Raw genomic sequence first — 27772 nt, forward strand, 5'->3', positions numbered from 1 at the left:
TAACCCCATAGAGATCCCTGGAAAGACTGATTGATTAGACTAAAAATGTATCGCTCCTCCCCTCTACCTAATCCCACATTTCTCAAGTAGATAGAAGCACACACATGCACAAGAAATGTGTGGGAATGAGTTTCTAGTTGATGGATGAAAAAAGAGGAGCTACTTGCATTAAGAATATTTGCCTTTTGGACATGTTAAAACACCCACTAATGCAACTTAGAGACTTAAAACCCCTCTAAAGAAGCTTTCTGATTTATGAGGGCAAAGGGGCCTCAATTTGTTATGCAGTTTAAATTCCAAACAAAATTTCCATCAACAACCTGAATATCTGAAAAGAATCTCAGGTTATGCATTTGGGGAACAGGATGATTAATACAAATCTTGCTGTTTTAGCACTGATGAGAGACAGACCCATGACTCTGAAAATCCAACAGCAAAGAGTCCATTTTGGGCCCTCTCTAGGGACAGACCCAGGACTCTGAAAATTTAGCAGGATAAGAGTCCATTCTGGGCCCTCTCTAGGGTGACTTTGAAAAGAAATACTGGTGCTGGCTTTGAGAAAGGCAGAAAGGACCACGGTTCTCTAATCTTCTTTCACTTATTTCAAATGGTTTCGATTTGCAGGGCTGCCTTCTGACTCTTGTTATTTTGCATTATAGTCCAAAGAGCAAATTTTCCCTCTTCTACCTCTGTTATCTTTTCTGAATTCTGCATTCCAAAAAAATAAATATAACCTTTTTTTCAATAAATTATCATTTAATATTAAAAAAGAAAATTGGTTATAGTCCTGATTCTATCATTACAAATTGCACCCTTGATGCTTTGGACAAAAGTACCCTTCTTGGCCTCAATCATATCATGATTAAAATAAGAAAATAATTTTCCATGTCTAATTTATTGTGTTTATTGTAAAATTTAATGAATTATTGTAGGAAACATTTAATATTACTTCTTTCCATAGCACATAGAATGAAACATTTAATATTACTTCATTTATAGCACATAGAATGATCTTACTGGTTTATACATCTATCTGTTCATCAGAAAGAGGTATCTCTATGTCTGTTCATTCTTTCATTAGTTAATTATTTCATGCACTTATCAATTGACAACTATGTATCTGCCAGGCACTTTTATAGGCACTGGGGTCTTTTCTGGGCTCCCCTCACTATCAATATAAAAGCTCCCCTGGGGTGATCTGGTTACTTTTATTACATGTTAATTGCTCACAAACTTGTATATCCAACAAAATTTCTCTTCTGTATTATAACCTAAGTGCTAACTAAGCATCTCCTCTTGACTATGCTTCAGGTAACTGAATCTTATGCCTAAAGATGCCTGAAGATGAACAAGGAGTCCCACAACTTTCTCCCCATTTGTAGACATTAGAAACAAACAAAATCCTGAGATTTATCGTTCACTTATTCCCATCTTTCACACAAACTCTCAAAATAAGGTCAATTAACCACCCAGTGCTGTCAATCTATTGCCTAAATATTTCTTGAATCTGTCCATTTTAATTAATTTTTACTACTACTACTACAATGATGCAGACCATCATAATTTGTCCCTAATTATACTGTAACAGGTTCCTAATTAATTCCCCCTGCTTCAGCCTTTTCCCCATTTTAATCCATCCTCCTCACAGTAGCCTAAGGAGATTTGCTAGTTTGAGTCCTGGGAGATGAGATGGGGAAGATGGGCCCAAGCTGCAACATGAAGGTCCATGATGAACAGTTGGCATCTCCTACAGTGCCTGCCACTTGGTAAGTTCTCAACGCTTATTTGTTGTTGTTTCTGAAATACAGGAAAGCATTTTGAAAATGACAGGATTCCACAAAATTAAGTTCCATATAACATATTTTAGCATAAAGGTAATGACATTTACTCCAGTGAAGTATTTCCTCTTCCTTCCTTCCTGGATTAAGAATGTAAGCCATTGCCTTGTTTATGAATTCTTACCAAAGGAACTTCTAAATGTCAGAGGTAAGTGAAATCCCAAGATATGAATGGAAATATCACTTTACAAATTCACTGAAATTTTTATTCTAGTGGAAATTGGATAAATCTTATAAAATATAGAGAAGTGAGGAAGTGTTTGGGAAATGGCAATCTGACCAAGAGAAATCAGATTTAAAGTTCATCCTTGTAAGTTGCTATTGATGTGGAAAAATTTCAGCAATATTGTGGCTGTGGCTGGAGTATTATGACTATAGATGGACATTGACTTTTTATTTAATTGTTTTTGTTTTTATGGATACATAGTAGGTGTATACATTTAAGGGGTTTATGAGATATTTTGATACAGGCATACAATGTGAATTAATCAAATCAGAGGAAATGAGGTATCCATCAATTCAAGCATTTATTCTTGACTTTGATATTGAACCCTGCAAAGTTATGAGCACTAACATATCTTGTATGGCCTTCCAGAGATACTTTTCTCTCTATTCTAAATTTATTCCCTACACTCAATAATTTATTTGCTTTATTTACTGCCAGTTTATGGAAAGTCTTGAGTTATCAGATGAGACAAATTTTTAAAACGTGAATTGAATCAAAACCTCACACAGAATTTATAAAATCACAGCTATGGATTGACCTAGAGAGACAGCATTTATGTCTTCAACAGCACAAACCTTAGACATCTTGGCACAAAGTGAATGCTCACTAAGTATTTGAAGCATAAATGTAAAAAATTCTTATTGCTCAGAACTCATTCCTGTATCTCTTAAAATCATTCCAAATGTGTTCATGAAGGTTCATGAACAAACAGTATGCGCAAACATTTCCTAAACTTCCTCAGAATTCCTAAAAAAGCTGAAAGAAATGCACATTTGAATTTCATTTCATTTATTTGCTCAGGTGAGCTGTGTTAAGTAAGAACGTAACATCTCTGAACCTCAAGTATTTCATCTGTAAAATGGCAATAATTATAATACCTATATCATATGAAGTATTTAGCAAAACGCTGGGCAGTATGTCACTCCTGGCAAGTACTTATGCGTGCCTATGCTGGCAGAATGTCACTTCTTAGATTCTACAAAAAGAGTGTTTGGAACCTGTTTCATGAAAATGCAGGTTCAATTCTGTGATAAAAAATAACACATCACAAAGCATTTTCACAGATAGCTTGTCTCTAGTTTTTAGGCCTGGATATTCATATTTCCTTATAAGTCCTCAATAGGTTCGGAAACGTTGATGGTGCCAAGCTGTCTGTGAAACAAGCTATCTGTGAAAACGCTTTGTGATGTGCTGTGTTATTTCACAGAATTGAACCTGCGTTTTGATGAAACAGGTTCCAAACACTCTTTTTGTAGAATCTAAGAAGTGACATGGGGATGCATGAGTACTTGGTAAAATTAGCTAATATTATTTTTATTGTCAATTATTTTCCTTTCCCATGACATTTTCCCCATTTTGTACTAAAGCTGAGAAACAGAAATATTAGTGTTTAGCAAAAAGGAGAAGAGGGGAAGCAAATAGTCTGAAATATGCACAACTGATATATGATCAACTCCTTAGTAATGTAGTGCCACTTCCAAATAGCCCTTCGATTTCTTTTATTTTTACATTTACTGTGTTTTCCTATTTTTTAGCATATATAAACTTTTTAAATAGAAAATTTGTGAAATTCAAAAAGTACAAAGGAAAACTATAAAAGCACAGGTAATCCTACCACCTAGTGATAATGGTTAATATGATATATATTACTTACTATATGTAATATATATTATATACACTTAACACTATATCATGAAAATTATGCCGTTTTGTTATTTTGTTTTATTTTATATTTTTAGCTTTCCAACTTTCTTTCCTAAAAGCATCAATAATTCCTCCTGAGGAAGTACTTTTTCTTTGGTATACAGTCTTGTTTGGTGAAACTGTCCTTCAATGAATGGCTTTGCCCTTTTCTTGTCAAGCCAATAATCCGAACTAGGCCACTGAATCCTTCTTCCATTGAATTTTAGCAGATTGACAGTGACAAACAATTGAGTTTACCAGTGGCAATGCTCAGACTAGGGTGTTCCTGTTACGATACCATTCCTGTAGGTCTGATGGCTGGCCCTCTATAGCTATCTTGGTTTTTCATCTTTCCCATTTAAAATACTAGTATCTTTCCAGTGAATTCTGTTTTTTTGTAAATTAACCATAGTTTGTGTTACCACTATGACAGAACTCTACTGGTAGAGAAATTGGTGCCAGAAAATAGATTACTAGCGATAGATATGAAATGAAATTTCTCTTCCTATGCTAGAATGTATATTTAGCAGCTTGAGAAACTTTATGGCAACATAGCAAATTAGGCTGTTCCTGCGGTCACCGGGAAGTTTGCTCACTTTGGCCAGCCAGAGAGAAACTGATTAACTGCTGCTGTACAAAAAGGGAACCTTTAGAAGAAATTCTAGGGCACCATAGTACAATGGCTGCTTCTAATAACATAATGGTAACTGAAAGCCAGGAAGCTCACAACCTAAATTCTCATTTCAAAGTGTAGACTGAATCTCATTAACTTTTGACACCATGCTGCATGATTCTTAGCTTATGTTGCCCCAGATTTAGGATCATCAGAAGGCATTCTGGGGTTGATTTGTGGGTTGCTAAGTTGCAACATCAATTGAATTAAAAGCCTTGTCTAGTCTCTCATGTGAAAATTATGTTATTGGTTGAGAGTGCATAGAGTGGGATCTCAATGATTAAATTAGGGAAATCTGAGAGTATTTAGAGTATTCATAGCATCTTAAATCTGTAAACCCCTCTGAAAGATCCCACACATAAACACCCTGAGTTTTCCTTAGTCAAGGAAGCAACTCCTCTGACCTTGCTATACAAATACTTCCTCTTGGCCGGGCACGGTGGCTCACACCTGTAATCCCAGCACTCTGGGAGGCTGAGGTGGGCAGATCGTGAGGTCAGATTGAGACCATCCTGGCACGGTGAAACCCCATCTCTACTAAAAATACAAAAATTAGCTGGGCGTGGTGGCGGGCGCCTGTAGTCTTAGCTACTCGGGAGGCTGCGGCAGAAGAATGGCGGGTGAACCCAGGAGACGGAGCTTGCAGTGAGCCAAGATTGCACCACTGCACTCCAGCCTGGGTGACAGAGCGAGACTCCATCTCTAAGTAAAAAAAAAAAAAAAAAAAAGGAAAGAAAGAAATACTTCCTCTCTCCTTTCTTCCCTCCCACATGTGTAGAACATACCCTTTCAGGGAACCCAGGCTCATGAAGCATCCTTACTTGTGCTTCCATAAGCAAGGCATTAGTGAAAAGAGAACTTGCGAAACCCCATTCTGCTCAGAAGTAACAAACTTCACATCTCTTCAGACTTCATGTGGTCCAAGAAAGCACGTGGCTGTGTCTGAGTTCAACAGGGTGTGAATAAAGAATAACCCCTCCACAAGGAGACTTCAAACAACAAATATTTGTAAAACACCAATGATAACACAATCCACAAGGCCCTTGCACCTGGCATGCACTTTTCCATCTGGCAAATGCTTTTCCCCTATTCATTCTTATAGTCAGAAAACATCAGAAGTTTACTTTCATCTGAGAGGAACAGTAGTATTCCTTACTTTCTTGTTTCATGGATAAATTGTCTCTAGAGATCTATGCTAAAATATACTCATTGTATGACACGACATCACACTTTTACATTAAATGGGCAAAATCATGCTGATAATTTGTAGGAAACTGGAAATAGCAGGAACATTAGGCACTCTGCTGAGACACATGTTTTCCATTGGAAGCAAGATAGAAAAAAAATGAATACACTAACGTCTACCACCTCTGTGAAATGTCTGAGAATCCCGAGAATTGCAGCATATTGGAATAAATTTCCCTTTTCAAGGGAAGAAGCAGTAGGCTCACTTTGCATTCCCTACCTTAAGAAGACAGAAGACACATCTCTCAGTTGCTGTCTTTGGATTTTGTTGGCAGTATTGGAGAGTTTGATGTGCTGCTACATAAATTTACAAAGTGGCTTGAAAACCTGCAAGTTTGAGATGGAACCTAAGACACACATATCTCTCTACCTGTACAAATAGTTACATAAATTGGCCCTTTGGGCTCAGTAAATACAATGATAACTAGAATTTCAGTGGTGGTTCAGAGTGCTTTATGGAATCTATAGTAAGCTCTGTTAGATGAATCACAAAAGAAACATCTAGAATTTGGAAGCAAAGCCCTATCATCATTGGTTAAGTAACTATTCTGTGTGCAGTGCCTCTTGTTTTACTTCTGGGCTCTGCTAGATTCTCAATTCTTGAGCATAATCCAAACTGTTCCTGAATGAATGTGACATTATCTGATCCAACCATTTGGAGAGTGTCCTTGAAACTACTATGGACAGTGATAAAGTTATTGAAACCTCTATTCTATGTTGGGAGAATCACCAAGAACTAAGCTCAGTTATTAATAATTTGGTTTGTATAGGTCTACTTGACAAAGAACTCTGACCAATTGAGCACTGGCTGAATATCAGGTGGACGTAGGATGAGTAATAGGCAGGACCAATTTAGAAATAAGGAATGTAGTCTACGCAAATTTTATTTTTTTATTTTCTTATATTGTGACAAATATTTTATCTTCTCTTTCCATTATGTTTCTACTTATCTTATATTGGTAGTATTTATGGTGGTTAAAGTTAACATTATTTCAAAGTTTCACAATATTTGAATGGAATATCAAGAGAGCAAAAGGAAGAGGGACTATCGATCTAGACAGTTCAGACTTTCTGCCAGTTTAAAAAATTTGAGATATTAGATTGTCTGTAGTTATAAGTAGAATCTGTTTTCAAGTGTAATCTCTATAGTGAAAAAATGGAAAGGATGCATGAGTATACTTGATGAAGTTTTGTAAATTGAACGAAGTGTATAACCAGTGTCCAAATCAAGAAATACATTGTTGCTAGCAACAATGAAAGGAAGGAGGAGGAAAGGAATGAGTTAAGACGCTCGATAATAAAGGAATGGTTAAAAAGCACACTGATACATTCTTGGGTGACAGAATACTATGCTAATCTTATTGTAGAAGAATAATAATGTGTACCATTTAAAGTTTTTGCTGCAAGCAAGGGAAACCAATTCTGACTCTGATAATATACAGAATGGAGTTGACTAGAAGGATATTGGCAACTCAAAAATTATGCAGAAACCAAGATGGAATGGTAAGCTTTTTTTGTGTGTAGAAACTACACAGGTGAGTGGGCACATAGCTGAAATAGTCTAGTTATGGTGCTGCTAGTGGAAATGATTGAACCACAACCATTTTCATTGTCATTCAGTTCCAGAAATATAACCAGCATAATTCAACTAATCTTTTATAATCATAAATAAGCTTGACCCTTTTAGAAGTCAGTAGGGACTACTAGGTTGCTTCCTGTTTTCCTTCCTTCCTTCCTTCCTTCCTATGCAATCCTGTTGAGAATTTTGTAACACACATATCATTTTGCATATTTGTAATAGTTTATTCAAGAGGATTTTTTAGAATCAGAAGTGCCGAGTAAATATGTATATATATTTTTAAAGTTTTTAATGAATGTTCCTAGGTTTTCTTTGAGGAAGAATTACCAATTTATGCTTCATCAACACTCTAGGACTCTTCAGTTTTCTTCATTTGTGCCTAAACTGGTGGAAACATGTTAGCAATTTTTTTGTACATCATTATATCAACCTCCCTTTTTATTTGGGACAGGCTTTCCCAATAATAAAAATTTCTAGTTTGATGAAGAGTAAGCACTGCTGTTAGATAAATCTATATATTTTATACTATAAAGACAATATAATTGACATTTAGTAGTAAGTTGTGTGTCATCCATTCAAGATTACCTTTAATGAATTATCTCCTAAATTTGCATGCGAAGTCACTTCGTCCTATCTTCTTTCAATAATGTTTGATTTTTATCACTCATTGTTATTAGCTGCTAATTAGTAAAGGTTATCCTGTTTTCAAGGCAATGATAAAGCTTTCAAAGAAAATAATTTTCTTTTCTCAGGCGAGAGGGAATAAAATATTGTGTTTTACAAAGTTGGCCCCACTGACCACATTTTAAAATGTCTTGATCTTCAGATGTTATTTTAAACATGATAGAAAGAGCTCTTAAGTGACCTTCAATTTATCTAACCTCCAGAATGACACTCTGTTCCTTCACAGATGCCCATAGAACACTAAATGCTTAAGTTCTCATAGGCTACACACTTCTTTTCAAACCACAAGATAGCTTTTGCTTTTTACTTCCAAGGTTGTTTGTGTCAGGTATATTTGTTATTTTAATTACATAATTTAAATAAGAATTATTCAAAGCAATGGAATATGAGTGTGGAAAGAAATTCATTTTCAAAAGACCAAGTTCAATGGCATTGAACAATGACTTAAATAACTTGATCAAGATAATTTGTTTAAAAATGTTAGCAAATAAGAATGATTGAAGAAAAAATTACAAATCTAGAACAATTTTGCATTCAGATAGCTTTGAATCTGTCTTTAAATTCCAGACATCCTTTAAAGAAACCAAAATTGGAGTTCTTATATAATGAAACATGGGTATAACATATAAAACTGATGACACAGATATTCACTTAGCAGGCTCCATCTATAGTAAACACACACATACACAAATCAGCTCTAGCCTACATCAAATGGTTTCCAAATGAGTTTATATTAATAGATATTAACTTGCAATGTATTCTGAGACATGCACAAACCATTTTTAATAATTTATTACTTTGATTCAATTTAAAAATTAACCAAACAAACTAGATGCTATATTTTGGATATAATTTGTTTGGCCACACCAGGTCTTATGTTGAAATTGATCCCCAGTGTTGGAGGTGAGGCCTAGTGGGAGGTGTTTGGGTCATGGGGGCAGATTCCTCATGGCTTGGTGCCATTCTCCTATTCTTGCAGGAGCGAGTGAGTTCTCAGTCTTAGTTCCTGTGAGAACTGCTTATTGAAAAGAGGTGGACACCTCCTTTCTCACTTCCTTATTCTCTTGCCACATGACACCTGCCCCCCTTTGCCTTCCACCGTGAGTGGAAGCTTCCAGAACCCTCAACAAAAGCAGGTGCTGGTGCCATTCCTCTTCTGTAGCCTGCAGAGCCAGGAACCAAATAAACCTCTTTTCTTTATAAATTACCCAGCCTCAGGTGTTCCTTTATAGCAACACAAATGGACCAAGACACCAGATATTGTCCTATTTTGCTTGTATCTCAGGTTTTTCTACAGAATGGAAGATAGGAAGAATACTTCAGTAATAGCACATTACATCTCAGATATGTGACAAATAATGTCACAAATAATGCCACAGGAAACTATATGCCAATTTTTAAATATCTTTTTCCTAACACAAGTACAAGATAACTCTAAATAACGTGGATTTTTTTTTCACTTCATAAAAATCCATATATTTCTTCCTTCTAAATATTTGCCACAGTCTTTGTCCTTCACTCTCCTTGTTCCTTTGTGTTGTTTTTTACACAGATGAAAAACACTCACTGAAGTCAAAGTACATTTGTGTCTGCATGATGATTAACAACAGATGAGTACTGATGTGGCTGAATGGTGATAAAGTCCATTAAAAAATTAAACCATGAGAGACAAATATATAGGTATAGCAAAGGCCATCTGTCTGAGGTGGATATGCATTTCCACTAAGAATATCTGGTCCCTTAGAAGCTGTCTTCCTTTCGGCACACTCTCAAATGCGACTATCTCAACACTTTTTCAAGTGTTTGTGTAGATTTAAGGTGATGCTTAACATCTCTGCATTTCTCATCATGGCCCACCAGAAACATACGTGATAAAAATACATATTATATATGTTCTAAAGGAATGACCACAGATAAAATGATCAGGAATGTTTTGTAATTGTTTTATTGAAACATACTTTCTCAGAACTCCCTTGATTCTTCTTCACCTTATGTCAATATTACTTTCACTTTTTGATTGATAATATTCATTATTAAAAATTCAGCTTTTGACTCCTGAGTCCTAAACATAACTTCATGGATAACTTCAGTAGAATTTAATATATAGACTAAAAGATTATTTGTTCCATGTGATGGTTCATATTTTTTACAGTTAATCTAAGATTTGTTGATTAATTTTAAATTTACTTTAAAATTTATAATAGATATTTAATCCCTTCATAATCTGAAGACTCTTTACTCAATATTTTGGTAATATCTCTAGTCTGCTAAGGCATTAGGTGCTCATGCTAGTATTTTACCAGCTCCCTCCTCGCCAGACCATGTGAGATTGGGATGACTTTTCTTTTATGGGTATGCTGGTGTGAGAGATTATTAATAAAAGAAATCTTCTTTTTAAACAAAGGAACACTGTATCTCTCAGTACAGATGGCTCCCAGATTGTCACAGCATCAGAGTGCTACTTAAAGCGCATCTTTTCATGCCATTTGCTATTTTTTCACTTCTAGGTTCCATATATAACCTGCAGAATGCACCCAAAAAGTGAGTTCAAGGGCCAGTCTTTGATGGGCAATTACGTATAGATTTCTAATTGCTGATCCTAATGATCAGTGGTTTCTCCTTTGAGTCAGATGTATTATTGCTGTAGAACTGGAATGCTGTCACTCAAAGTGATCCCTAGTCATTAACTCATTGGTCAGGCCAAGCATATAATGACACTGCATTTTCAGAAGATAGAAATTAAGTGTGGGCAAGCAAGGATGGTCAACTCACCTAAAACTGCCTGGCAGCAGCAGCAGCACATGAAAGATAAGGTGTTCAGATCTCCACAGACTAGAGAGTATTTAGGGAAACAAAACACCTTTGATTTTTATATTTTGGCTGAGACATTTTCACAGTACTTTTTTGGGCTGAGAACAAATGGTATTTCCACAATGACAAAGGCATTGGAAACATCTAGAATAGAATATGCCAACCTCTTCTCTGTGAAAGCATGTGCACTTAAAACAAATAGTCTCTTACCAGTAACTGGCACATAGCAGGTGTTCAGAAACTTTTTGTGCATCAGATTAAATGAGAGAACTGGAGGCACAACAGGTTCAAGCATTTTCCGAAATATTTGAACATTGGAAGGGTAGAATTCATGAAAACAAAACCATTTTATAGTTTTGTTGAAAAGTTTCATTATATTTAGAAAGTAAATAAATATGAAAAGAAATCAAGTCTCCTTAAAATAAGAGAGACCTCGTCAAATGGGTTATATATGTTTCTATGTATATAAACAAACACACAGTGGAAAGTGAACTAGAAGAAGTGATGTTGGCAGCACACCAACAGTAGACATTCTTCTTCTTGCAAGGACAAGAAAAATAATTTGATATGATATCAGAAATGAAGCATTTTTATAGTCAACTATCAGCAAAGAGATAAAGACATTTTAAAGTCAGAAATAGCAAAGTTCACAATGAGCCAGTGAAAATGGGATTTTTATGTTAAGTTTTCCTAAAGAACTGAAGTTCTAGAGTTCAAGACTTGTCTCTAGGAAGAGAGATTTGAGACTACAAACCAATGGATTAAAGTCATTCTGAAGCCAGAGATATGTTAAAATTTAGGAATGAAATTTGGATTAAATTACAGTGATTTTGAAGATATATAAGTGATGTATTTTCTGTTAAAATATCTATCTTTATGTTTTGATGTAAATGTTTGGCTAAAATAATTACTAGTAAAATTTATTACATGCTTATTTTAGTTTATACCATATCATATTTTTTAAGCAATATAAAATTAGTAGAAAAGCAGGTTGAAATTTTGGTATAATTAGGAACAATGGTCTTAATTCTCCTTTTCACTTTGATTAATGAGGAGGCAAAGCTCTGGTTTGACATTTAATAATGTTTAAACTCTTAAATTTGTGTAAGGTTAAAAATGTTTACATGGATTTAGGGGGGGTTTTTGGGTTGTTTTTTATTGCATTTTATAATTACATGACTACAGTACAAAAACACCAAAAATTGTTCATGGAATACAGCCACGCTAGATCCACAGAACATATTTAAATGACATATATAAATGTAGCCATCATACTATTCTAAAGTTTTTGTTTGTTTATTTTTTGTTTGTTTGTTTTTTGTTGTTTTTTTTTTTTAGACAGGGTTTTGTTCTTGTTACCCAGGCTGGAGAGCAATGGCACAATCTTGACTCACTGCAACCTGCCTCCTGGATTCAAGCAATTCTCCTGCCTCAGCCTCCCAAGTAGCTGGGATGTCAGGAATGCGCCATCATGCCCAGCTAATTTTTTCTATTTAGTAGAGACAGGGTTTCACCATGTTGATCACGCTGGTCTTGAACTCCTGACCTCAGGTGATCCACCCACTTCAGCCTCTCAAAGCGCTGGGATTACCGGTGTGAGCCACTGTGCCTGGCTCAAAGTTTTTTTTAACTTAAGGAATTTTATTTTGGTAACTATTATGTGTCTGGAACTATATTAGTTCTCGCTGGGTGATAACATGCATATGACAGTTCCTGTTCTTGCAGGACATTACACTTAATTTGACGTTAAAGAATACAAAATATTATATGATTTGTTCGCATTTCAAGGGTTGATGTAGACTGAATGGTTTAGAGAAATTGTCATAGAACAAGGCTAATTGAATGTGGCCTTGTGGAATATGTAAGAGAATTAGGCGAGGTTGGCAGGCAGAGAGAGGAAGAAGAGAAAGGACACTGTTAAAGAGGATATAGCAGAATATTTGGAGATCAGTTTAAGTCTCTGCAATGCAGATGAGAAAGGCTTTTGAAGGATAGAAGTTAGTGTGACCTTGAGATCCCCAGGAAGGATTATGAAAGGTTTGCAAATGAGTTTGTTTTTTGAAGCAGCATCTTCTCTGATGGCTCCATAACAGCAGGGGCAGTGCTGGAAGTGGTGGAACTGGCAACTGCCCTTCCCAGGGGTGAGTGCTTCCTTTCATGGTGATAGAACTTTCTTCTATCTGGGCAGAGTTCATTGTCAAATAGGGTCCTGAGACTTGTCTAAATACCACCCGCTACACAGAAGTCCTGTCATGACTACTGGGAACTAGTAAATTAACATTTGGCATTAGAAAAATGAGTAAGATGTATTTAGAAAATGAAAATAAACAATCAGAAGTATTTTTCTTTATATTTGAGGATTCTTTGGAAGTTGCAGTAGTTATGTTGTAAAATGGGCCTCAATGACTTTTCAACATTTTATATTTGTTTATTTTTTTCCTTTTAAAGCAGTAAGACAAAGAAGGAAAAGAATTGGGTTTGGAATAAAATTTACAAAAACTTGAATTCTGTCTCTGCTACTAACTAACCAAGTAGATCTGGTCAATCATGTCACTTAACCTCTTTACAGGTGATGATAACAAATCCATAAGCACTTCTTAATCATAAGTTATTCATATTCACAATAAAACTGGCTCGCACTTATTGCATATTTAATATATACCAAATTCCAGTCCATACACTTCCCATGTATTATCACTTTCTTTGAGAATTAAATGAAATAATATTAATAAAATAATTAGCATGAGGTCATAGATAACATTTTTAACAAATTACTTTTCAGACCTTAAATAAACTGTCCAAGTTGGGATAGAAATTGTGGTTTATAATATCTTCTATGCACTTAATAAAAAGCTTTGCCATTCATTCTTTTGCAGAAGGCCACTAACTTCTTGGATTTGCAGTTCAATTCCAATTAGCATGATTTTATTTTATTTATTAATTTTTAATTTTAGAGACAGGGTATCACTTGGTCGCACAGGCTGGAGTGACTGGCACAACTGTAGCTCAGTGTAACCTCGAGCTCCTGGGCTCAAGTGATCCTCCTGCCTCAGCCTCCCAAGTAGCTGGGACTACAGGCATGCACCACGACTCCTGGCTAATTTTTTAATATTTTTGTAGAGATAGGGTCTTGCTGTGTTGACCACGCTGGTCTTGAACTCCTGGCCTCAAGCAATCCTTCTGTCTCAGAATCCCAAAGTGCTGGGATTATGTGCATGAACCATCACACTCAGCTGGTTATTTTAAACTTAGCATTAGATTTTATTTTATTTAAAAATCTTGACATATCAAGTACAGAGACTTGATATTCTTTGGTGCCTTATGAGGATAAAGGGAAAATAAACCAAATTTAAAAATCTACCTTTTCATAAATTTCTTTCAAGGCCTACCGCTAATCTAGAATAAGACTCATTCGTATACGTAATATCTAAGGAAGAGCTAAATATTTGTTATTGTTGTTCCATAACATATATCTCTCTGATGACATTATTGAAAACAAATGATATGAAAGAACTCTAAATTGTAAACCAGAAATAAAATTCTAAGGCCCCCCAACCATCTGAACAAACTTTCTCCTCAGCCAGGGCTCTTAAAATTTAACCTGAAAGACTGGTTCAGGCCATGAAGGGAAGAGGAGGTGGAAACATGCCTCATTATACCTCTCAGGCACTAACATCAACGCAGACTTTTCAGTCTGATAAGAAACATTTCTCTCTGCTCTCTCAGAAGCCTGCTAGCTAAAAGCTTCATCTGCATGATAAAACTTTGGTCTCCACAGCCTCTTATCTCAACCCAAACATTCCTTTCTATTGATCCCAGGTCTTCAGACAAACTCAACCAATCGTCAACCAGAAAATGTTTAAATTTACCTATAGCCTGGAACCCCCACCTCCACTTTGAGTTGCCTACCTTTCTGGACCAAACCAATGTATGTCTTAAATGTACTCGATTGATGTCTTATGTCTCCCTAAAATGCTGCACCCCAACTGCCTTGGGCACATGTCATCAGGACTTCCTGAGGCTGTGCCACGGGGCGTCCTCAACCTTGGTAAAATACACTTTCTAAATTACCTGTCTCAGATTTTGTGGGTTCATAAAATCTACCAGGAAAATAAGTTAAAGTGTTGAATTGGCAAGAGAAAATGATAAAATAAAAATTGAAAATGTAGAGTTAGGAAAATATACACTAGACAAATACAAGTAAGGAAAGCAAGAATAATAATAGTAATATTAGAAGAACATTAGATGCAGAAGAATTACCAAGGGCCAAAACAGTAAATATGAAAATGGGAGATATTTTGTGAAAGAAAATGTCCCATGCAAATAAAACATTATGTTTATGTGCTAACCGTAAGGAAAAGTTCCTAAAAGGGTAAAAATTTTAAATATGAATTAAATGGAAAGTTTACAGATTATGTAGGTCAGCAACATATAGTCTTTGACTAATATAACTTTGTACCCATGCACAAAAAATATATAATTTTATTTCCAGAAACATTTACAAAAATCATTCATGGAAGTATCCACAAAGAAAACTTTAATAAACATGCAAAAGTCAAGACTGACAAGGTCACACTTTTTCTTTAATACATTAAAACTAAAATAAAGAAACCAAGAGAGTATATACATGGAAAATGTGAAACACTTTCTCAAATCAAGTTTTGGTTCAATAATGAATTTTTTAATTTAAATAATTAAAAATAAGTAGAAGAGCACTCTATGCTAGAATATTTGGAACACAGCTAAATTGTATTCAGAAACTATATATAGTCTTAACAATTTTTATTAAAAAATGACTGAAGACTTCCGAAAAATCTTTAAAAAACCCCTTTCTCTATAAAAGCAATAAGAATACTGTTTAAAACTGTCAAAATCAACTTTTTCAGAGCTCTGGAAGTTAATTAAAGGCTTGCAACAATCTGAAGAAATTTATTTAAGAGTAATGGCTAAATATTAGTAGGAACAATAAATTCTATGGCATTACAATTTGACCTAATCTCATCTCTCCTCCCAAGATCCATGGTACATTTGAAAAACAGTAACCTAGCAGCTGCTGGAAAGGGCTGAATGGACTTGGAGCTACCCAAATACACCATTCCGTTTACTGTCTGGCAGTACTTTGAAAAGCATCATTCTTGGGGCTTGTCTTTAACTGACCTGACTCAGCTACTCTGTGTGAATGGCCTTATTTGCGGTTCATTGGTTGAAAACAACCAGTGGCGATTGTTTACCTTTGCAGCTGCATGAGGCAGAATTATAGCTGGAGCTAACAAAAGGCTAATCAAAAACTTAAAAGGAAATATGGGGGAATTATAGGGGACTTCGAAAGCTTTGGCATACTCCTGGACATTTAGAAGGTTGCTATATTAGTCAGGGGTCTCTAGAGAAACAGGAGAGATGATTGATAGATGGATAAGTAGATAGATAGGTAGATAAATGATAGATAGACAGATTTATTATAAGGTATTGGCTCATGTGATAATGGAAGCTGAGAAGTTCCATGACCTGCCGTACGTAAGCTGATGATCCAAAAAAGCTAGTGGTGTAGTTTGAAGGCATGAGAGCTGGAGAGCTAATAGTGTAGATCCTAGCCTAGGTCTGAAGTCCTGAGAATCAGAAGTGCCAAGTGCAGGAGATCAGTGTCTCAACACAGGCAATCAGGTTGAATGAAAATTTAAACTTCTTCTGTCTTTTTGTTCTATTCAGTCTTTAGATGGATGAATTGATGGCCACTCATGTTGGGGAGGGCCAGCTGCTTTACTCAGCTCACAAATTCAAATGGTAATCTCTTCTGAAAACATGCTCACAGACATGCCCCGAAGTAATGTCTAACCAGATATCTAGGTATACTGTGGCCCATTAAAGTTGACGCATATAATTAACCATCATACTCATGTGCTTGCACATGCCCAGGGCTGTATGCATACCCATAAAGACCTGAGAGCACCCTAATCCCTTATTTCTGTCTGCCTTTAAGACTCTGTTGTAGCAGGACCAGCTACAAAACTCCTCAGACAAAACTCCTCAGACACTGAGTTAAAGAAGGAAGGGGTTTATTCGGCCGGGGGCATCGGCAAGACTCCTGTCTCAAGAGCCGAGCTCTCTGAGTGAGCAATTCCTGTCCCTTTTAAGGGCTCACAACTCTAAGGGGGTGCGCGTGAGAGGGTCATGATCGATAGAGCAAGCAGCGGGTACGTGACTAGGAGCTGCATGCACCGGTAATTAGATCGGAACAAAACAGGATAGAGATTTTCACAGTGCTTTTCTATACAATGTCTGTAATCTATAGATAACATAATTGATAGGTCAGGGGTCGATCTTTAACTACCAGGCCCAGGGTGTGGCGCCGGGCTGTCTGCTTGTCAATTTCATTTCTGCCTTTTAGTTTTTACTTTATCTTTCTTTGGAGGCAGAAATTGGGCATAAGACAATATGAGGGGTGGCCTCCTCCCTTACTGTGAAAGCCAAAAGTGACGGCTAGGGCAGAGTTGGGAACTGTCTGCTTGAGTGTTGTAGGCATTCCCTATATCTACACACAGAGCCACTTAGCAAAGATTTGGAGAATTATTGACACAAGTAATGTAAGGACATATTCATCAATCCATTAGCTGATCACTAAGCTAACTAAGTAGATATTTCACAGGCTGCACAAGACCAAAACAATACAAATTTTACAAAATTAGTATGAGAAAGTCACTAAACAATTCTAATAAACAGCAACAAGTAAAAAACACTGTAAAAGTAGGGGAGCGTAATCTGAATTCAAGAGTTGCCATATCATATTCTTTCAAATGTTTAGTTTTCAACAACAACAAAGAATAAGACTTACAAAGAAAAAGGTATCTGGCACACAAAGAGAAAAAAGTACTCAAGAGAAATAGTACTTCAAGAAGCACAGATGTTATACTGAATAAATAGTTTAAATTTTAAAAGTACAAGGAATTAAAGAAAAACATGTCTAAAAAATTGAAGTAAACTGTGAGCATGATGTCTTTCCAAAGAGAGATTATCAGTAGAGAAGGGACTCTAAAAAAGAGCCAAATAGAAACTCTCGAGTTGGAAAGTATAAGAACTAAAATGAAGAATTTACTAGAAGGAATCAACAACATATTGAGCTGGCAGAAGAAACTTGAACAAATGTCACTTGAGAGTATACATCCTGAGGAACAAAAAGGATAAAGAGTAAAGAGAAATGAATAGAGACATTGGTACACTTTAAGCATACCAACATATCTATAATAGAATTTCCAAAAGAAGAGGAAAAAAAGGGGAGGGAAGAATATTTGAAGAAACGATGGCCAAAAATTTACCAATCAATTCAAGTTTGATAAACTCAAAGAGATTTATTCTAAGTATGCCATTGGTAAACGGTCCTTTAACAAAGACAAAGAGAGAATCTTCAAAGCAATAAGAGAAAAGTGGCCTATCATATACAAGGGATTCTCAGTAAGATTAATAACTGATTTAATGACAGAAATCATGGAGCAAAGAAGGCAGTGGCATGTCATAATTAAAGTGCTGAAAGGAAAAGACTTTCAACCAGGAATTTAATATCCAGCAAAACTGTCATTCAAAAGCAAAGAAGAAATTAAGACATTCTCAGATAAACAAAATGAGTAAACTTGTTATTAGCAGACCTGCCAAAAAAATGCTAAAATAAATCTTACAAGATGAGTTGAAGAGGCAATAGAGTAACTTGAATTCATAAACAAATAAGGAAAACCAAGAAAGATAAATATATAGGTAAACTTTTAAAACAGTATAAATATATGTTTGTTTGAAACTTTTATTGTCTTATCTGACTTAAAGAAAACTACTTAAAGCAATAACTGTAAAGCTGAGTTGATGAGCTTATAATGAATCAAGATGTTATTTGTGTGATAATAATACAAATGGGAGGGGGAGTGAAGTTATACAGAAGTGAGTTTTTACATACTATTGAAATTAACTTGGTATTAATCTTACCTAGATTGTTTTAGGATGTTAATTGTAACTCCCAGAGCATCCACTAAGAGAATTACTAAAAATACACAGCTTAAAAGTAAGGAAATTAAAGTGGTATACTAGAATTATCTATACGGTATGAAGAAGACAGTATGGAGAATTAAAGGGGAAAAAAGTAAGATCTTCAGAAATCAAAGAGCAAAATGGAAGACATAAATATTACTTTATCAACAATATATGTAATTATATATAATATAAATTACACATATTCACATGTATGTGTATATATACATATGCACACATGTGTGTGTGTATATAAATATGTACTATGCCTGACAACAAAGTCGCAAAATACATGAAGCTAAAATTGATAGAATTGAAGAGAGAAATAGACAAGTCAAAAACAATTGGAGACTTCAGTATGGGTTTTCAATACTAGGAAAAACAATGAGAAAGAATATCAACAAAGAAATAGAAGACTTAAATAAGACTATAAAGTAATTAGACCTAACAGAATTTTAGAGAAGTCTTCACCCAAAAATGGTAGAATAAACATTCTTTTTTTTTTTTTTTTTTTTGAGATGGAGTCTTGGCTCTGTTGCCCAGGCTGGAGTGCAGTGGTGCGATCTTGGCTCACTACAACTTCTGCCTCCCGGGTTCAAGCGATTCTCCTGTCTCAGCCTCCTGAGTAGCTGTGACTACAGGCGTGCACCACCATGCCCGGCTAATTTTTGTATTTTTAGTAGAGACGCGGTTTCACTGTGTTGGCCAGGCTGGTCTCAATCTCCTGACCTCGGGATCCGCCTGCCTCAGCCTCCCAAAGTGCTGGGATTACAGGCATGAGCTACCATGCCCAGCTTAGAATAAACATTCTTAAATGCACATGGAACATTCTCTAGAATGGACAATAGGCAATATTTTTTAAAGAACTTAATAAAGTTTAAAGAATTGAAATAACTAAATGTATGTTCTCTGACTCAAATAAAATAAAACTAGAAAGCAATAACAGAAGGAAATTTACAAATTTGTGATAATTTAAAAAACAATCATACTCTTAAATAATCAATGGGTCACAGAAAAAAAATCACATGTAAAATTAGAAAATACTTTGAAAATCAACAATTGAAATGAATAAAATCCAAAAACAGCATACCACAACTCATTGGATACAGCTAAAGTAGTACTAAAGGGAAATTTATAACTGAAGAACTATTTTTTAAGAAAAATCTCAAATTGATCACGTAATTTCCTACCCTAAGCAACTAGTTTAAAAAGATTAAACTGTACACAAAGCAAATAGAAGAAAGAAAATAATAGACTAGAATAAAAAGTAATGAACTAATAAATAATGAAATAATGAAACAACGGAGTAAATCGACAAAATCAAAAGTTGGTTATTTTAAGTATAAACATTAAAATATATACAGCAAAATCAGTAGAATATAGGTGAGCACGTCAAATTAATCTTTCTTCTTCTCTCAGGAAGGCTGTTGCTGGTGAAAAACAACACCCAAACATGTTATGCTTCATTTTTTTATACTGTTTTTCAAAAATCTTACAAATTAACAATGTTTTGGTTGTTATGTGGTTATGTTAATATAACATTGTTATATTAACAATGTTAGGGGACAAAAAAAGGAAAAGATCAAAGAAGATGATTAATTTTTTATTCACATCTTTGAATTGTCTCACTTATAATGAATATGTATTACTTTTATAATTTCAAATAAATTATAGTATAAAAAATTTAAAATGAAAATAAAGATAAATATATGACATATATTATAAGCATGGTAATTTTTTAAGGTTAAAAAAGCATCTATATTTATAAACATACACATTACAATTGTCTTGAATGGAGTATAACAAAATGTTAATAATTGTCATCTCTCAGCGGTGCCATTATTTTTATTGCTTTTTAGAGTTTTATATAATTTGGACTTTTCATAATGAGTTTTTGTTGTTTTACAATTGTAAAAAAATCAGTGAAGTTATTTTAGGTTTGGATACAAAAATGTTTTATTGAGCAGAGAGAAGAATGAGGCAGAAGGTTCAGGAAGTGTGGTTGAATGTCAAGGCAATTGAAGGGAGTTGGAATGAAACCCAGTCCTCAGACACTCAGGGGAAGGTCGATTCAGGGCAGGAGAATGACCTTAGCGGTCCTTACCATTTATCTCCTACTCCTTTTGCTGTGTTTTGTCTTTGAAAATTTTCAGGTTAAACTGTCATTTTAACTTCTAATTCATTATATTTATTTGACATCTTTACAAATAACTGTGATTTGATACCAAAGTTACCAGGATTTACATTTTCATTGTTGTTTTTTGAAATGTGAACACTAATGTTATGCCGGTTGTTATGTAGAAGAAGTTTCTTCAATGGAATTCAACAGGATGCTATTCTTGCAAGACACCTTTGGTGTAGGGCACAGACTATACTCTGCAGTGAATTTTGAGCTTCAAGAAGGCTTGTTAAGGGCACAGGATTTTGGAAAGTGTAGACTCTATTCAAAGTTATGCTTAGTAAGTGGAAAAGAATGAGTGAGGTGGTAATGAATTGGAAAAGAAGGAGCTGTTGTATGTTGTCAGAGGGAGAGAGGTTTAACAAGAACTGTTGCTGTGTGTTGTGGAATTGTGCATCTCTGCTTATTTACGAGACCTACATTGTATTTTCAAAAAAAATTTTTAATTGATTTTATGTCTTTCAAATGCAGCAAAAGACATAAAATCCTGGTCATGCATTAAGGCAGGGCTAATGAGGTAATGTTTCAGAGCCTTCCATAAGGGATTGGGGACCTAACGTACAGGCTCCAGCATCCCTTCTAGAAGGAAACAGAGAGTGCACCTTCCCCATGACAGCCAGGCTGCTGGGAGCATGAGCCAATAAAAAACGAGTCCTCTGGGCTTCATGGTTTCAACTCAAGGTGAGAGGGAAATGGTGCCAGCTACTGATAAATTAAATTTACAGTTTTAGGGACAAGGGAACTTAGGGGCTGGATATTTCTGTTGGAGCTATGAGCTAAAGATTTTGTAAATGTGTATAATTTGCAAACAGAATCAATGATTTTGTTCTTCAAGGGAAGGAAGTTTTTGTTTTTTGACAAGTGTGTCTCTTCTTGAAAAAAAGAGTGATGGAGGATTTACGCTCCAGGATGAGACATGCTCCAAGTCAAGAGCACAGTCATTTAAAATGATATTGGACAAGAAAGGGATGCCAACAAGAGGCAGATGTGAATAAGACACCTGTGTGACCTTGGGGGTCCCATACAACCAGAAGGGAAAAAAGACCAAAGCCACTAATAGGTGGCATGAGGCTGTGGGAGGGATAGAGTTATAAAGAAGGTGTTTAAGAAGTGTTGCTGGGCCTGGTGTGGTGGCTCACGCCTGTAATTCCAGCACTTTGGGAGGCCGAGGCAGGTGGATCATTTGAGGTCAGGAGTTCAAGACCAGCCTGGTCAACATGGTGAAACCCCATCTCTACTAAAAATACAAAAATTAGCTGGGTGGTAGTGGTGTGCACCTGTAATCCCAGATACTTGTAAGGCTGAGGCAGGAGAATCGCTTGAAGCTGGGAGGCAGAGGTTGCAGTGAGCTGAGATTGTGCCACTGCACTCCAGCCTGGGTGAGAGAGTGAGACCCTGTCTCAAAAAAAAAAAAAAGAAGTGTTGCTGTGTCTTAGGTATGATAAAGCCTCTTTCATTGCTCCTTTAAGAGTCCAGGAGCAAAGACAATTGTTAGTGTTTTCTAAAGAATGTTGAACACCAAAACCTTTTTTAAAAAGTGGGTTTCTGATGATCGAGACTTAAAATGTATGAAGTTTCTCATTGGGATTTATGAAAACAGGGAATGAGTTGATGACAGAATTCTAGAGATAGAAGACGGCAGACCAGCTTTTTATAAAAAACAGCTTTATTAAGGTATAGTGAACAAAGAACTGCACATATTTAACGTGTACAATTTGATGAGTTTGGATTAAACTCCCATTGGATACTATCACTACAGTCGGGGTAATGGGCACATCCAACATCTCCCAAAGTTTTCTTATGTTGCTTTGTTTATTATGTTGTTTTGTTTTATGTGTGTATGTGGTAAGATCTAGCTTCTTAACAAATTCTGAAGTGCACAGTACCATATCGTCAACTATAGGCACTGTGTCGTACAGCATATCTCTAAAACTTACTCATCTGACATAATTGAGACCCTATACTCATTCAACAACAACTCCCCATTTCTTTCCTTCTTCTAGCCTGTGGCGCTATTTTATTCTCTGCTTCTCTGAGTTTGACTTTTATCGATACCTCATACAAGTGGGATCATACCGTATTTGTCCTTCTGTTACTGGCTTCTTTCACTTGGCACACAGTAGCCTCAGAGTTCATCCCTGTCATCACAAATGGCAGGATTTCCTTCGTTTTATGGTTGAATAATATTTTATTATATATATTTACTGCAGTTTCTCTATCCATTCATCTGTCAGTGGGCATCTGGGTTGTTTCTATATCTTGGCTATTGTGAGTAATGCTGCAGTGAACATGGGAATGCAGATAACTCTTCCAGATCTTGATTTCTCTTCTTTTGGACATATACCCAGAACTTGGATTGCTAGATTCCCTGGTAGCTCTATTTTCAACTTTCAGAATAACTTTCCTACTGTTTTCCATCATGACGGCACGATTTTACATTCCCACCAACAGTTTACAAGGGTTCCAGTTTCTTCACATCTGACCTACTCACTTTATTTCTTGTTTTGTTTTGTTATAATGGCCATCTTAAAAAGTGTAAGGTGATATTCCACTGTAGACCAGCTTCTTACTGCAGTAAGACAATCTGACATTCAAGTTCATTATAATGTGGTTACCACGTACTTTCTGGCCATTTATGCCTCACCACCCCCGCATGCGCAGCCTTCCCTCCTGCCATGTTCGATGGCTTGCTCTTCCTGGTCTTTGCTTCCATGGATTGTATCTTGCTTTCCCTGCTATGAAACACTTATTTATATTTATGTTCATGCCCCTCTTCAGAACTGTGGCATGGTGCAGAATGGTTTTTTCCAGACAGCCATGTGCTTCACTCCCTAACTTCTCCCATGTCTCTGTTTCAATGCCATTCACCTGTGAGGGCTTCCTTCCCCAAGCACCCATGGAGAAGAGCACCAGAACCTCCTCACCTCCTGCCTTGCTGTTTCTCCACAACATTGACGTCACAAAATATTTTTGTTTGCTTAGTTTTTGTCTTCTCTTCACCCAATGAGAATATAAACTCCATGAAACAAGTCCTTCTACCATTTTCCTTTTATACCTCTAGCTTCTGGAACAATGGATACATGTAGTGTTCAGCAAATTGTGCTTTAATAAATTAATGAGTGAATCAGAGTTGTGTCCCCTTTAACTTTGTATTTTCCCAATAACTAGCACAGTGTCTGGACTAGCGTATGATCCCAGTGATTATTTGTTAAACAAATAGCTCCCTGGAGTGAGAGTATTATGGTAGGAGAAAAGTTATTTTATGATAAAATATATCTATTTTTTTAAGGAAGATTTGTTATATAGAGACAAGAGGTATATACAGTGAGTGTGAGTTCTTTATCTGATCACTTGGAAAAGTTCTGGCTTCCCCTCTTTTCAGCTGTGTGACATTCAGCAAGTCAGTTCATCTCTCTGAGTCTCAGTTCCCTCAGATATAAATTAAGCTTTGCTGTGACTATTAAATTAGCACATATATATATGTATATATATACAGCACTTAGAACACTGTGTGACAACACATTGTGAGCACTTAGTAAGTATAAGATGTTATTTTTATATGAGAAAACAATTTGAGAGAAAATGAAAGAAATCAGAATTGTAAAAAGTTTATAAAAACTTTAATAACCTCATATAAAGTGGAAAATTGGTATAAAACTCTTATATGAGGTCACTAATATAATACATATACATATATACAGACTAGGAAACAAGAGTAGAAATGTTCTGATATGGATTCAAGTGCATAATTTTTTATAGTAGTTATCTTTGGGTGGTAAGACTTTGGGTGGCTTTTTCCATTAATGCTTTAGTGAATTGTCCATATTCTATTTTAATCAAGCAGTGCCTCTATAGTCAGCACAAATAATAAATACTGTAGAAATTGCCTCTTCATGAAACTTTAAAAAATACTAAAGAAAATGAGTTTTTTTTAGTATTTAAAAAATACTAAAGAAAATAAATATGGTAGAAATGAGCTCTTCACTACTTTAAAAAATACAAAAGAAAATGAGATGCATTTTAGATTTCACTCTCCCCCAACCTGGCTGCTCGGTTGTTGTCATCCAGGTGAACCCCTAGCAGAATCTGTGGAGTCCGGATGTGTCTAACACCTAGTGCATTCCTCAGACCCACCCTGCCAGAGCTGGTGGATTTAGCCACGAGGGACTTTGGCACTGAGCTCAGACTTTCTGGTGGCATTGGGCAGTCACAACCTGAATCTTTGTCCAAATTCAACTACTTGATTAACTTCCGTTTAAATAGAAGCTTACTTTTGAAAAGTTAGGTTTTCTTCCATTTTTTTTTTCTCCCACAGCTGTCTTGGCAACATCTGATTCCAGCCAGGGCAGGAAGTATCTGAGTCAGAGATGGGGTGAAACAGTTTTTCTGGTGCTGTTCCCAGCCCTCTGACAAGGATCGTCTCTCCTGGAGCTTTCTGTCTGCTTCTACAAATAGCTTGTAGAGAGCCAGAGGATGTGTGTAACGGGATTCAACCAAAGCAGTCCTCCGGCCCACCCTTGACTGTATTTGAAAGAATGTGAGTCATCAGCATGGGTCCTGTCCTCTTCAGCATCCTCAATGAATTAGCAATTCCCAGAAAGCTACCCCTGAGGGAATGGGAAGAAAAAGAGACCAGAAGCAAGGAGACTGAATTTGCACCTACACCAGATGATTTTATAAGATGTGTTTAGATAAATATGGCACATTTCCACCCACCCACCATTAAAAAAAAAAAAAGAAGCAAAACTTTAGTGCTAGATTCTGAAGGCACATTTTGCTTCATTAATCTAAATAAGTACCTTAAATGTGAATTGTTCTCTTTTCTTCTCATTCTTTTTTCTTTTCCCTTTATTGTTGGCGTGGTAGCAGTTGGAAGTGTTTGAAATGGTCACACAAATACTTAGCCTCTCTCTTCTGTATTAAAAACGTAGGCAATTCCCTGTTTCTAGATGAGGAGGAGCTAAATGTGTATATGGCTTGAAGAGAACTCACCATCAGATGAACCTAATACTTTTACCCCTGGCTCTCTTTTTAAGGACTTAGACTTGAGTTATCTCTGAGAGGTCATGAAGCAACTCAACAGATTGGAAGACTGTGACTGGGAAAAATTGTGTCTTGGTGAAAACAATATTGGCTACTCAATTTGCTGAACCAGTATCTAAATCTTAACTTTGGCATTTATGAACTGTGTGATGTGGAGATATTTCTTAACTTCTCTGAACCTCAATTTTCTACTTTATAGGAATCATCGTGGTGACGTGAGGGTTAGTTATAATGGGTTGAAGTGCCTTTCACATGATAGATACTATACTATTTACCTCTATTGAACATACATAATCCTCCCATATAGACATTAAAATTGCTGTAAATAAAAACAGTGAAAGTAAAATCTACAATGTGGTAGAGATAAGTTAATAATAGTCATAGTTAAGTGTCTAGTGCTCAATTTTGTTTTTAGTAGAATGATATCAAGCGTACGTTTAAGTGACCATGTGCCTAATGGTTTTAAATGCTATACCTAACAGCTAGATTCACATCTCTCAAAGTGTGGATTGAGACCCATCTCACTAAGGATCACTGAAGATTCTTTCTAAAAGGCAGATTTCTAGGCCTATCTAAAACCTTGTTGGGTGTGGGGCCCTAAAATTTGTATTTTGCTGTGATTTCTATATACATTATAGTTTAAAAACACAAATTTGATGACAAAGATTTTTTTAAAATATTTTAAGACAATTATTTAGTATAGCATTATCTGAAAGATAATCTAGTTTTATCTGACAGAGTATCATAATGTACTCTACTGATATTAATACACATTATATCATTATAATTATAATTTATTTTTGACGAAACTCATCGGAAGTCATGGATCAGAGTAGTTTCTGGCTTGGTGCCAATGCAAGCTGAACTGCCTACCAGCTATGAGACTTTGAGAGAATTTTAACTTTTCATTAAATTCTAGTTTCCCATCTAGTCTCCATAATAGTTTCTACCCTATAGGATTATTGAAAGGATTGCATGAGATAACACATCTATAAGTTTTAGACTGTAGACGTTAGAGATTATCATCGAAAGACTTCATGATTATTATGTAGTTCAGAAAGACTCTGGTGGAGATTTGATGAGCGTCTTTGAGAATTTTTTTGGCTTGAGGCAAAGAGAGGCAAATCTGGATGGTCCTCATTTTCTCCCCCTTTTAGTATTTTAGCAGAAGCTGGCTTAGCAGGTGCAAAATAGCTCAAAGAAAGAAAAAACTGATTCTAGCTACTGGGCCTCACATAGTCCCTCCTTCTAGCAAGGTAATTTTTCCATAGTTATATAGTCACATAGATAGTCCCTGCACACACCCCCTACAAATACATAGAAAACTTTAGTTGTGGGAGGGGGTATAAACATAACCATTCTACTGGATCATTTGCCATGATGGATCTATTTTAGCTTTGTGTAACCTAAGCATACCTTTCTATGGAATGGGAGAACTTGGATTATATGTGCTTTATTGTTGCTCTGTCTTTACAGTTTTCCATATAAAACCCTATTTTTACAATATCTATACTAAGTAACACTAGAAGTCTGTGCTCATGACCCCTTTGCAAGATAACTTTTTTTTTTGATAAAGGGAATTTTGGAGATTAATAAATTAGCATGCAGGAGGTACAATCGAGAGAGTCCCTGGAGGCAGCATCTGTAGTATGGACTGAAGCATAGCAGGATGGGAACAGGGAGATGTGGAGCTGTGTGATGGTGTCAGAAGAGACCTCAAACCCCGTGGGAAGCTCTGAAGATGGGATTGCTCTTCCCCATCTTTGTAACCTTACCTGTACCAAGTCACTAAATAAGAGCCTTG

General features: G+C 35.9%; 2 long non-coding RNA genes across 3 annotated transcripts in view, besides 1 other annotated feature; one reads left to right on the forward strand and one right to left on the reverse strand.

Annotated features, from left to right (window-relative positions):
* Window positions 1-27772, forward strand: part of LINC01580 (long intergenic non-protein coding RNA 1580) — an 83450-nt gene that overhangs the window by 3823 nt on the left and 51855 nt on the right. For both annotated transcript variants that reach the window (NR_120323.1, NR_120322.1), the window contains exon 2: window positions 1649-1766. This is a non-coding gene — a long non-coding RNA (long intergenic non-protein coding RNA 1580). The remainder of the gene's footprint in view (window positions 1-1648; window positions 1767-27772) is intronic.
* LINC01581 (long intergenic non-protein coding RNA 1581) overlaps window positions 880-27772 on the reverse strand; it is a 202536-nt gene continuing 175643 nt past the window's right edge. The window contains exon 9 of the long non-coding RNA NR_120320.1: window positions 880-1797. This is a non-coding gene — a long non-coding RNA (long intergenic non-protein coding RNA 1581). The remainder of the gene's footprint in view (window positions 1798-27772) is intronic.
* Window positions 14227-14808: an enhancer, noted in NCBI's record as "OCT4-NANOG hESC enhancer chr15:94461979-94462560 (GRCh37/hg19 assembly coordinates)". NCBI's record gives its function as "activates a minimal SCP1, AML or CMV promoter by ChIP-STARR-seq in primed H9 embryonic stem cells {active_cell/tissue: H9 hESC(primed)}" and the evidence as "EXISTENCE:reporter gene assay evidence [ECO:0000049][PMID:30033119]".

This window comes from Homo sapiens, chromosome 15 (genome assembly GCF_000001405.40).
Source record: "Homo sapiens chromosome 15, GRCh38.p14 Primary Assembly".
NCBI lineage: Eukaryota > Metazoa > Chordata > Mammalia > Primates > Hominidae > Homo > Homo sapiens.